We start from the raw sequence: 12,461 nt of genomic DNA, 5'->3' as shown, positions 1-12,461 counted from the left end.
AGGACCCAGTACAAAGTGAAAACCTAGAACTGTTCTTCATAAATTCATAAGAATTCCAAAATGATGGCAGTGGAGCATTAAAACAAATACCCTTTCTAAGCACAGGGCCCTGTGGAACATCCCAGGTTGTAAGACCATGAAGCCCACCTTAGGGCCACTTAACCACTCAAATACTGAGCACAGACCCAATGTTGGAGGCATGACTCCAAAGATCTAAACTGTTCGTTTAAGAATTTGACTCTCATGAGAACAGGGATTTGTACTGTTTGACTTAGCACTGAATTGCCAGGGCCTAGAGTAGGTGCTCAATGTTTGATTTCAATTTTTCTACGTAGGAAACTGGCCTGTAAATAAATGCAGATAAACTATTGCCTGCGCTTATGGAAACATGAATACTCTTTTTTTTCTTCTTTTCTAGAAACAGAGTCTCTGTTGCCCAGGCTGGAGTGCAGTGGTGCAATTATAGCTCAGTGCAGCCTTGAACTCCTGTGCTCAAGTGATCCTCCCCGCTTAGCCTCCCAAAGCACTGGGATTACAGGCATGAGCCACTGCACCCAGCCATGAATACCCTTTAGAAAGCATTTATTCAAGAACTTAAGGAGATTTTACATTGAAGGTTTTGAGAGAATCTGAGCACAGATGGTTCCCTGGAGTCAAGAGGACCAAGAGCAGCCCCAAGGTGCGAAAAAGCCCTTTTTCTTACATACGAAAGGAACCCAGTACCATTTTTTCATCTCATCTATTGGAAGCATCAGGAGCATATCTTGGAACACTAGCAGTCAGCATTGTGCTGAAGACCATCAACTCTGACATCGCTACTTTCGTTATTACTTGCTACTTGACCTTGAGCAATTACTTAGCCTCTCTGTGCCTCAGCTTCCTCATCCCTAAAACAGAAGGATAATGCAGTATCTACCTCACAGGGCTGTTTAAAGGATCAAATGAGTTCTACGTGCAAAGCCCTTAGAGCAGTGCCTGTGCTTTACAAGTATTTGCTCTTTACTGTAACACTGTTTGGAAGGATATCACTGTCCATGGTGATCTTGAGGGCCCTTGGAGCAGCTTCCCAAACCGTGGATATTGATGAAGGGAATGAGAATAGAAGAGAGAAACAGGCTGGGTGCTGCCAACAGGCAGGTGTGTGAGCACTTCCATCTCCTCGCCTGCTCCCTGGAGAATTCCCAGAAATAGCCCAGGAAGAAGTTTTCTTTACTTGGTCAGGGGCAGGAGGTTGATGGAGTGGCAGAACTGCAAGCACAGGACCTTCCAGGCACAAATGCTATTCCATGATTTGACTTGTATGCTTAGACTAGAGAGGCAGAATTGCACAATGGGAGCCAACACACCTTGGTGGTTAGGAGCAAGGGCTCTGGAGTCAGACTGTCCAAAGTCAAATTCTGCCTCTACCATGGCATCAAAGCTAATCTAATGGTGTAACTAGAACCCAGCTGATATAGTTTGGATATTTGTTCCCCCACATCTCATGTAGAAATGTAATCCCCAGTGTTGGAGGTGGGGCCTGGTGGGAGGTGATTGGATCACGGGGGCAGGTTTCTCACGAATGGTTTAGCACCTTCCCCTTGGGCCACCTTCACAATAGTGAGTGAGTTCTCGTGAGATCTAGTTCTTTACAAGTGTGTGGCACCCTCTTCCTTTTGCTCCTGTTCTCATCATGTGAGACCCCTACTCCTGTTTCACCTTCCATCATAAGTTAAAGCTCCCTGAGGCCTCCCCCGGAGCCGAGTAGATGCCAGCACCATGCTTCCTTGTACAGCCAACAGAACTGTAAGCCAATGAAACTTACTTTCATTATAAATTACCCAGTCTGAGGTATTCCTTTATAGCACTCCAAGAATGGCCTAACACACCAGCACTGAGTAATAATCCTTCTTGTAAAAGCCCAAACTTGAACTGGAATTGGTTTTCTAAGTTTTACCGAGTTCCCACAGAAGACCAAACCCATGTTTGGGTAACCTAAAGGACTGCAGCTAGCCCAGTTAGCATCTAAGTGTCACCAGGAAAAGGCTTCCTTTTCTGAGACTGAGAAAGTTCAGGCTGGACTCCACTCCCAATTCATACCCTTGCCTGGGAGCCCTGTGCTGGGCATAACCTTAACACATATACCCAGAGCACGGTAATTAACCTAGTTACTATTTTAGTCTTGAAGAAAAAACTTGGAGGAAAAATGTCATTTAATTTAAAAATTACAAAGTCCATGAGTTTTATAGAAATTTTTGCCACCAATCGGCCAGGCGCAGTGGCTCACGCCTGTAATCCCAGCACTTTGGGAGGCTGAGGTGGGTGGATCACGAGGTCAGGAGATCGAGACCATCCTGGCTAACATGGTGAAACCCCATCTCTACTAAAAATACAAAAAATTAGCTAGGCGTGGTGGCAGGCACCTGTAGTCCCAGCTACTCAGGAGGCTGAGGCAGGAGAATGGCGTGAACCTGGGAGGCAGTTATAAAGCGATGGGTACTGGACTGAGGCAGGATACAGGGGTTTTACTTTGTACCCAGCCACCAACCAGCTGTACTGCCTAGAATGATCTTCCATTCTCTATCTGGCAAACTCCTACTCATCTTTTAAGAATCAGCTTAAATGCTGCCTCCCCTGAGAAACCTTCAAGGACTACCCCCAGGAAAATCTCTGGGTTCTCATACATTTTGCTCATATCTCTTTTAAAGTATTTTTGCTGTTTCATAATTTTGGTTTTCCTATATGCTTTTCTTTTTTTTTTTTTTCATGTTAAAAAAATCTAGAATTTATTGGGTAGGCAATGAAGAGCTGTTGAAGGAATATGAGCAGAGAAGTGACATGATAAATCCCAGACAGAAGCTTTTGGCTAATTTTATTTTGTTATCAGTTTATTTTTACCTGTAATGAACAAAGTTAACTCTTTTGGTAATTCTCATTGACATGGAAGAGAACAAATATCATTCTATCGCACCTTTCCATAGTCCAAACAAATATACCGTTTATTTTTTCCTGAGATTTGTGTAGTGAAAGAGAGGGGAAAAAAATGGACCAAATCTCAATTGATCAAGAAAGTTTTCTTTTTTTTTATCTCCCAATATTTTAATTTAAAAAATGTCAAATTGTATATATTTAAAGTGTACAACATGATGTTTTGATATACTTACACATAGTGAAATGGTTACTATAGTCAAGCAAATTAAAATATCCATCATCTCACCAAAGACTGTTGATGGATGAATTTTAGTTGTTTTTTTTTTTGTCAACAATAATTTATTGTCCTCTTTTTTTTTTTTTTTTTTTAGTATTTATTGATCATTCTTGGGTGTTTCTCAGAGAAGGGGATTTGGCAGGGTCATAGGACAATAGTGGAGGGAAGGTCAGCAGATAAACATGTGAACAAAGGTCTCTGGTTTTCCTAGGCAGAGGTCCCTGCCGCCTTCCGCAGCGTTTGTGTCCCTGGGTACTTGAGATTAGGGAGTGGTGATGACTCTTAAGGCGCATGCTGCCTTCAAGCATCTGTTTAACAAAGCACATCTTGCACCGCCCTTAATCCATTTAACCCTGAGTGGACACAGCACATGTTTCAGAGAGCACGGGGTTGGGGGTAAGGTTATAGATTAACAGCATCCCAAGGCAGAAGAATTTTTCTTAGTACAGAACAAAATGGAGTCTCCTATATCTACTTCTTTCTACACAGACACAGTAACAATCTGATCTCTTTCTTTTCCCCACATTTCCCCCTTTTCTATTCAACAAAACCGCCATCGTCATCATGGACCGTTCTCAATGAGCTGTTGGGTACACCTCCCAGACAGGGTGGCGGCCGGGCAGAGGGTCTCCTCACTTCCCAGACAGGGCGGCCGGGCAGAGGCGCCCCCCACCTCCCGAACGGGGCGGCTGGCTGCCCCCCACCTCCCTCCCGGATGGGGCGGCTGGCGGGGCGGGGGCTGCCCCCCACCTCCTGGATGGGGCGGCTGCCGGGCGGAAACGCTCCTCACTTCCCAGACCAGGCGGCTGCCGGGCGGAGGGGCTCCTCACTTCTCAGACGGGGTGGCGGTCGGGCAGGCAGAGACACTCCTCAGATCCCAGAAGGGGTCGCGGCCCGGCAGAGGCGCTCCCCACATCTCAGACGATGGGCGGCCGGGCAGAGACGCTCCTCACTTCCTAGACGGGATGGCGGCCGGGAAGAGGCGCTCCTCACTTCCCAGACTGGGCGGCCGGGCAGAGGGGCTCCTCACATCCCAGACGATGGGCGGCCAGGCAGAGATGCTCCTCACTTCCCAGACGGGGTGGCGGCGGGGCAGAGGCTGCAATCTCAGCACTTTGGGAGGCCAAGGCAGGTGGCTGCGAGGTGGAGGTTGTAGCGAGCCGAGATCACGCCACTGCACTCCAGCCTGGGCAAGATTGAGACCTGGGTGAGCGACACTCCGTCTGCAATCCCGGCACCTCAGGAGGCCCAGGCGGGCACATCACTCGCGGTCAGGAGCTGGAGACCAGCCGCGCCAACACGGCGAAACCCAGTCTCCACCAAAAAATACAAAAACCAGTCAGGCGTGGCGGTGCGCGCCTGCAATCCCAGGCACTCGGCAGGCTGAGGCAGGAGAATCAGGCAGGGAGGTTGCAGTGAGCCGAGATGGTGGCAGTATAGTCCAGCCTCCGCTCGGCATCAGAGGGAGACTGTGGAAAGTGGGAGACGAGGTGGAGGTGGAGGCGGAGGTGGAGGCGGAGGCTGAGGTGGAGGCCGAGGTCCTATATGCTTTTCTAACCAAAACATAACTTTCTTGAAGACAGGCAATGTGGTCTAGTATGTTGACTTCCTTGGTACCTAGAATACTAGTTGACTTAATGCACAATTAAATAAATGAAGGAGTGTATGACCCTAGACAATTCACAGAACTTCTCTGGCACTGCACTTTATTCATTTGTAAAATGAAGGTATCTGTATTAGTTAGGGTTCTTCAGAGAAACAGAATCAAGAGAGAGTAAGACAGAGATAGAGAGAGAGAGATTTATTATGGGAATTGGCTCACATGATTATGGAGGCTGAGAAGTCTCATCATCTGCCATCTGCAAGCTGGAGAACCCGGAAAGCCAGTGGTGGAATTCAGTCCTAATCTGAAGGCCTGAGGCCTGCGGGTGAGCAGGTGGGGTTCTGCTAGAGTCCCAAGAGCCAGAAGCTCCAGTGTCTGAGGGTAGGAGAAGACGGATATCCCAGCTCAAGAAGAGAAAGGGACAATTTGCCTTTCCACTGTTTTTTGTTCTATTCAAGCCCTCAGTGGATTGGATGATGTCCACTCACATCGGTGAGGGTGGATCTTCTTTATTCACTCTATCAATCCAAATGCTAATCTCTTCTGAAAACACCGTCATGGACACATCCAGAAATAACATTTTTACCAGGTATCTGGGCATCCCTTTGCCCAGTCAAGGTGACACATAAAATTAGCCATCACAGCATCCGTCTATTTTTTCCAAGTCCTGGCCTGCTCAAATACTCCTTGAATGCATAATATTCAGTTACAAATATTCCATCTAGGCCTCTCCAGGGGTAGGACAGACAGAATTGCCTTTGGAGTTCTGCCGTCTCCCCTTTGTACCCTCTCCACTCATCTGATTCCGCTTCATGTCCTGGTTAGGAGTCTTTTCCATAGACCCTTGCACTCAGTTACTTGACAATAGTGTCAAGGTTATGAGCACAGAGCCTGGGGACAGATTGAGTTCAAATACTGACTCTAGTACTTGCTAGCTATGTGACCTTGAGTATGTGACCTTGAGAGTTATTTAAACTCTCAATTTTCTAATTTTAAAATAGAGATGATATTAATAAAAATACCCACCTCATAGAACTGTCTAACATAGACTCTGATCAAAAAGAATGGATGTCAGCCTTAAACAACTAGCACAGTCTCTACTGGACAGGGGAGTCCTCCCACCTCGCCTCCCTCCAGTGCTGAGTCTGTTGCAGTTGTTGACTCTTATTTCTGAGAATGGGTAAAATAAAGGCTTAGTAGAAGATTTATGCACACACATCCCAGATATTTTAAATAAGGCAGTGGGGGTGGGGCAATTCAGGTAATAAGTCTAGGCCCTTAAAGGCTCACCTCAAGGCGGATGCCTAAACTTGGTTGATTTCACTTAGACAATGAATAATGAGATTAGGGCTGTAGAATTCACTCTTCCTGGTCTGTGAACAGAATATATGTCTCCTTGTTATCAAAGAGTAATATTATATGTCTTCCCAAGATTTATATTTCTTTTATTATATCTATTATTATATATTATTTTTAATAATACCTAATATTAGAATAACACTTTATTCATTTTCCTGTAAGTATTTCATAAGCTTCCTACAAGCTTGTGAAGTGAGTAGAACAGATATTATCAGCCCCATTAAAAGAGCAATTACTAATTTATTTTATTTGGGAGTGTCTAACACATAACAATTTTGACAATTCTCTGGAAACTTACATAGATATTTATGAACCAGGAGCATTCTCTGAGAAGGTAAGGGGGTAACTTAGATTTTATTCATCAATTTACTGGAATCTAACTGTAAAACTTGGATAACTTTAGAGTCTAAGTATAATATTAATAGATGTGTAGCTTAGAAATGCTTGCTATTACAAATAATACATTACTTCACTTATTCCAAAAATATAAGGTAAGTGGCTTTTGTGATTCACAGAGTAAAGTAGAAATAGAAACATAGCAAAAATATGGATTAGGTATAAATTGACATAGCAACATCCCTGCGAGACACAAAGCTATAAGGAGCTAAATTGACCATTGCTCCTACATAGAAATGAGTATGGTTATTTGGTCACAGATTCTAATTCCACTTGACTTTGCAGAATACATGGTGCAGAATGAATAACCTTTACTCTGGCAATTCACCATTATATTCCCAAATTATACTCACAATCTTCTTTCATTGTTCATTATATTAATGTAGCCATGACTTTATGAATTTATGGAATAGATATTAACATATAATAGCTGAATCTTCTGCCTTGAATTCTAGATAAGTTTTTGTTTGCTGGTAATCTTATTTGATAAGTCCAGAGTAAATGAATTGTATCAATTCATCACTAAATGCAATTCCTGTAAGGCTTTATTCCTGAGAGCAAGTAAGGAAACACTATTTGTTTATTGAAGAGAATGATGGAATCACATTTTGGCAAAATTATGGGGAGTAAGCAGATGGGAAATGGGAGAAAAGCCACATGGGTAATAAAAATCATGAGTTTTCACCACATAACTAAAATATAAAGGCAAATTCTCCTGGGAACCCCAATAGGTCATTTGATTCAACAACAGTGATTTATTTTCCATTCAGCAAGGGTTCTACACTTTGGGGCAGAGGGAGTCTTATGACACATGGTTCTCAGCTCCAGCTGTGACAGGGAAAAAGGGCTGTTGATAGAATAATCCTGACCCAGATAATGAGATCCTTAGCTACCTGCATCTAATAGCTTCACAGGACATCTCAGGATGGAAGTCAGCCAAGAAAGCCATTTTCGTTTGCCTTTTACTTTAATTTGGCACAAACAGTGGACACTTATTTCTCTAAAAAATAAATTATTAAAAAAAATGAGCCGGGCACGGTGGCTCATGCCTGTAGTCCCAGCACTTTGGGAGGCCGAGGTGGGTGAATCACAAGGTCAGTAGTTCAAGACCAGCCTGACCAACATGGTGAAACCCCGTCTCTACAAAAAATGCAAAAATTACCTGGGCATGGTGGCACGCACCTGTCATCCCAGCTACTCAGGGGGTTGAGGCAGGAGAATTGCTTGAACCCAGGAGGCAGAGGTTGCAGTGAGCCGAGATCACACCACTGCATTCCAGCCTGGGCTACAGAGTGAGACTCCGTATCAAAAAATATATATACATATATTAACGGGGTCATTTCACTTGATAGAACAGCCTATATCTCAAACTAGGTACAAAGCTTTAAAAGTACTACCTATCTTCCTGGCTTATTTCATTCCATCCTTCATCTTTCATTCATCCCTGTCCTTGTGATGTCACACTGGGTGTTATGTCACAACTACTGAGGGTGGAGGGACCGATCAATAACTAGAGCAATTTGGGATGTGAATGCAGAAGGGAAATGGCCACTAAAGAACTCTGAGACTCAGTGTGGTGGCTCATGCCTGTAATCCCAGCACCCTGGGAGGCTGAGGTGGGAGGATCTCTTGAGCCCAGGAGTTCAAGACCAGCCTGGGCAACACAGTGAGACCCCTATCTCTACAATTTTTTTTTAATTAGCTGGGCACGGTGGTGCATGCCTATGAGCCCAGCTACTTGGGAGGCTAAGGTGGGAGGATTGTTTGAGCCCAGGAAGTTTAGGCTGCAGTGAGTCATGATCACACCACTGCATTCTAGGCTGGGCAACAGAGCAAGACCCTGTCTCAAAACAAACAAACAAACAAACACACAGACAGACAGACAAATAAAAGGAATTCTGAAGCTACTTCTGGTTTGCCGGACTAGGATTGAGCAGTAGCAAGCCAAAAATGTTTTCTAATTAGGAGTAGGGCATGATCAGATCAAAAAGTCACAGTAGTGATCATATGGAGGACAGACTGGAAGAGAAAGACAATGGACTTCGCACTATCACTTGGCAAGCTCTAGAAATACACTAAGGAGAGAAATGCAAAAGACTAAGACAGTGGTTTTGGGGATAGAAAGAAGAAAACAGTCAATAGTCAGGTCCTGTCCATTCTCTCTCTGAAATTTCTTTACCAATTTAGTCAAGTGTCTCAATAATGTCCTTTATGGCATTTTGTTTTCCTCCAGTCCAGGATCTTGTCCAGGGTCACATATTGTGTTTAATTGTTGTGTCTCTTTAGTCTCCTTTAATCTGAAACAGTTCATCAGCTTTTCATTATCTTTCATGACACTGACATGTTTGAAAAGTACGGGTCAGTTATTTCATAGCTTGTTTCTTAATTTTTGTTTGTCTGATGTTTTCTCAAGATTTGATTTGAGTTATGCATTTCCAGTGGGAATACCACGTAAGCAATGTTGTGTCCTTCTGACGGTCACATCTGGAGACCACATGATGTCCACTTGCTCTTCATTGGTTATGTCAATCTTGATCATCTGGTCAGGATATTGTCTGGTTTTCCCACTGTATAGTTACTATTTTCCTTCTTGTTACCAATTTGTGATTAGTGGAAAAATACTTTAAGACCACAGAAATATTCTGCTCTTCAACAAACTTTCTTGCCTAGATTTAGCATTCTCTGATGATTCTTGTCCAAATCAATCTTTACCATGATGTTTGCAAAATTGCAATTTTCCAAATCTTCCATACCGTACACCAGAACTTCCATTTTTAACCAGACACATTACTACCTGAAAGAAAGGACCACATGCCACAGTTTGGTCATGGTTTATTAACTAAATCCTAACAAGTGTTCTGTGGGACTTCCAAGAAGTCTTCTTAAAAGTGCAAGGGTGAGGTAGAAGTGGGGACTGGTGTCTTCCTCCTCCTTCCTAGGAAGAACATGGTGTAAGAAGAGAAAAGAGCAAAATATTAGGGCCCTGAGGGACACAAAGTTGCTGGGTAACTAAAAAAAAGAAAAAGAGTAACCTGTGTAGAGGTCTGGAAAAATCAAACATCAGAACTGAGTGGTGCCTCCAGAATCAAGGGAAGGAAGATGTTTAAGCAGAGTAGAATGAACAGTTCAAATATCATAAGGAGGTCAAACGAAAAAAGGACTGAAAAGTCTCTATTGAATTCAGCCATTTGGAGGTCTTTGATAGCCTAATAAGAGGAATTTTATTAAAATGGATGGGAAACCTGGACTGCAGCAAGTTAAGGACCAAACGAAAAACAAAATATTAGCATTAAGTTTAGATGTTTCTTCCACAAAATTTGCTTCAAAAGGAAAGGAATAGGATCAGGCAAAAACTAACCCTCAGACTGTATATTGAGAGGAAAAATACTATCTTGTTCCATCTTGACTTTCCAGTCAAGATGTATGCTTGCATGTAGTAAACAATGAATAAATATTAGCTGAATACAAACTAGACAGAAAAAGGCTCCTCCCTTAGAGAACTCACACTCAAGTAAGTAAATAAATAAATGGGGTAGGATGAATGGTTGAGGGTTTTTATCAGGATAAAAGATACTGGTTTTTCAAGTTTATGATATTATGCATACAGCTCTATGAGTTTTGACAAACAAATGCAGTCATACAACAACCATGACAAATTATTGATTATTTCTATCACCCTCACCCCCCAAATTCCCTCATGTCCCTCACCCACACACCCTAGTCTGTGGCAACCACTGATCTAATTTCTGTCCCCATAGTTTTGACTGTTTCAGAATGTCATGTAAATGGCATTCAAACAGGAGTCTATTTGTTTACTAGATAATCAAACCAGAGCCTTTGCATCTGGTTTATTTCATTTAGTATAATGCTTTTAAGATTCATCCATGTTGTTGCTTGTGTAGTTCATTCCTTTTGATTAGTGAGTGCTATCAGGATTTGTCTGTTTCTCTCAGTTGATGAACATTTGAATTGCTTCCAATTTGGGCCAATTATAAATAAAAATGCTATAAACCTTTGCATACAGGTCTTTGTGTGGGCGCACATCTTCATTTCTCTTGGTCCTTGGGAGAGGGTTACTGAGTATAAATTAGCTTTTTAAGAAAACTGCCAAACTTTTCCCAAGTGATTATACCATTTTGCATGCCAACAATGTATGAGTTCCTGTTGCTTTGCATCTTCCTCAGAACTTGATATTGTCAGTTTTTAAAAGTTTGGCTGTTTTAATGCATGTACAGTGATATCTCATTGTGGTTTTAATTTCCATTTCCTACTGCATTTGCACTCTGTTAATTATGTTGAATATCTCTTCATGTGTTTATTTGTCATTTGTACCTCTTCCTTGGTGAATTCAAATCTGTTGCTCATTTTAATTATTGGGTTGTCTGTTTTCTTATTATTGAGTTGTGAAAGTCTTTACATACTCTGACTTCAAATCCTTTATCAAATAGGTGTTTTTCAAACATTTTCTCCAAGTCTGTGGCTTGTTTTTCCACTTTCTTAACAATGTTTTTTGAAAAGCAGATGTTTAAATTTTTGATGAAATCCAATTTATCAAGTTTTCATGGTTCATACTTTCGTGTTCTATCTCAGAAATCTTTGTCTAATTCAAAGTCCTGTGTTTTCTTCTAAACAGTTCACAGTGTAGATTTTAGGTCTATAATCCATTTTGAGTTAGGTTTTGTATGTGGAGAAAATAAGAGATTTGAACATAGGTACCATTAGAGAAAAAGAGCGATTGAAGATATATAATATAAAAAATTACAAAAGAGTCAAAAGCAGATTGGAACAGGAGTTCACGAGGACACAAATGAATCCCTTTTCCCACTAAAACAAAAAGGAAAGAAATTAAAGCAAAATTTGTAAGTGGGTGGGGTTGGGGGTGTTAAATGGTATCACCTCTTGGTCTCCATTTTCTCTGGAAGGAGACAAGATCATCTGATAAAAGAAGGGAGACAAGGCTAGAGAACAGTATGTTGGAGAAGAGTAACTAAGATCTGGCATAGATACCATGGAGAATGGGGAAGAGAGGTAACCACTAAAAAATAGAAGGGAAGCTAAATGATGGTAAGGGCCCAGGTGAGTCTCGGAACCTTGAAATTGCAATTGCTTTTGTTAGGCAATTGTCCTTGGTTGTATTGCTGGTTGTATTGCTGAACATGATCAGCATACGAGTGATGAGGCCAATGCAGGAGAGGCTTGGCAGAGGACAAGGGAGTGAATTCACTGAGACTGACGAGAGGTGACACTCCTGTTTGGACGGAAGAGGAAATTAGTCCAAGAGAAACAGACAGGAGGAGACTATAAGAAGTGACTGCAGGAATGAGAGGTCTAGGTGAGGCTGCAGAGCAAACTCCAAATCCAGTGGTTATTCTGTGCTTTTTGCCTCATGGGATCAAATTACATATTTGATCTATACATCAGGATGTATTTGGCTGCAAGTAAAAAAAATTTAGTTTAACCAGATAAAAGTGATGTAAACAACACAGGTTTGTTTTAGTTTTGTTTTTTCTCCATTTTGTTTCTCTTCCATAACAAGAAGCCTGAAAGTAGGAAGCTCTGGGAATGGTGAAATGAGTGGCATGACAGTGTCAGGACTCTGGGGCAATCTCTCTGCTATTGGCCTGGTTTGCTCTCATAATTACAAAATGGCCACCAGAACACCAAGCCTTACATCTTTTCATGGCCATATTCCTTTCTCTTTTTATTTTTATTGTTTTTTTTTTTTTTTTTTTTTTTTTGGCATTTAAGACGCTTTTATGGTGGACAGTTTAAAGCATAAAGAAAAGTGACAAAATAGCAAAGTGAACCCCATGTACTCATCACTCAGCTTTAACAGTGATCAACTATGGGCAAACTTGCTTATCTTCCACCACCACCTACATCCCTCCTCCTGGGTTATTCTGGACATTCCGTGCT

General features: G+C 42.1%; 1 long non-coding RNA gene across 3 annotated transcripts in view; it reads right to left on the bottom strand.

The window, feature by feature from the left end:
* LOC124901991 (uncharacterized) overlaps positions 1-12,461 on the bottom strand; it is a 45,617-nt gene that overhangs the window by 26,477 nt on the left and 6,679 nt on the right. For 2 of the 3 annotated variants that reach the window (XR_007061028.1, XR_007061029.1), the window contains exon 2: positions 6,370-9,480. The exons of the other annotated variant lie outside the window; for it this stretch is intronic. This is a non-coding gene — a long non-coding RNA (uncharacterized LOC124901991). Of the gene's footprint in view, positions 1-6,369; positions 9,481-12,461 lie in introns of those variants that run through there. 3 annotated transcript variants of the gene reach the window in all.

The sequence above is a fragment of the Homo sapiens genome, chromosome 8 (genome assembly GCF_000001405.40).
Source record: "Homo sapiens chromosome 8, GRCh38.p14 Primary Assembly".
NCBI classification, from domain to species: Eukaryota; Metazoa; Chordata; class Mammalia; order Primates; family Hominidae; genus Homo; species Homo sapiens.
This window is presented reverse-complemented; position numbering and strand designations above follow the sequence as displayed.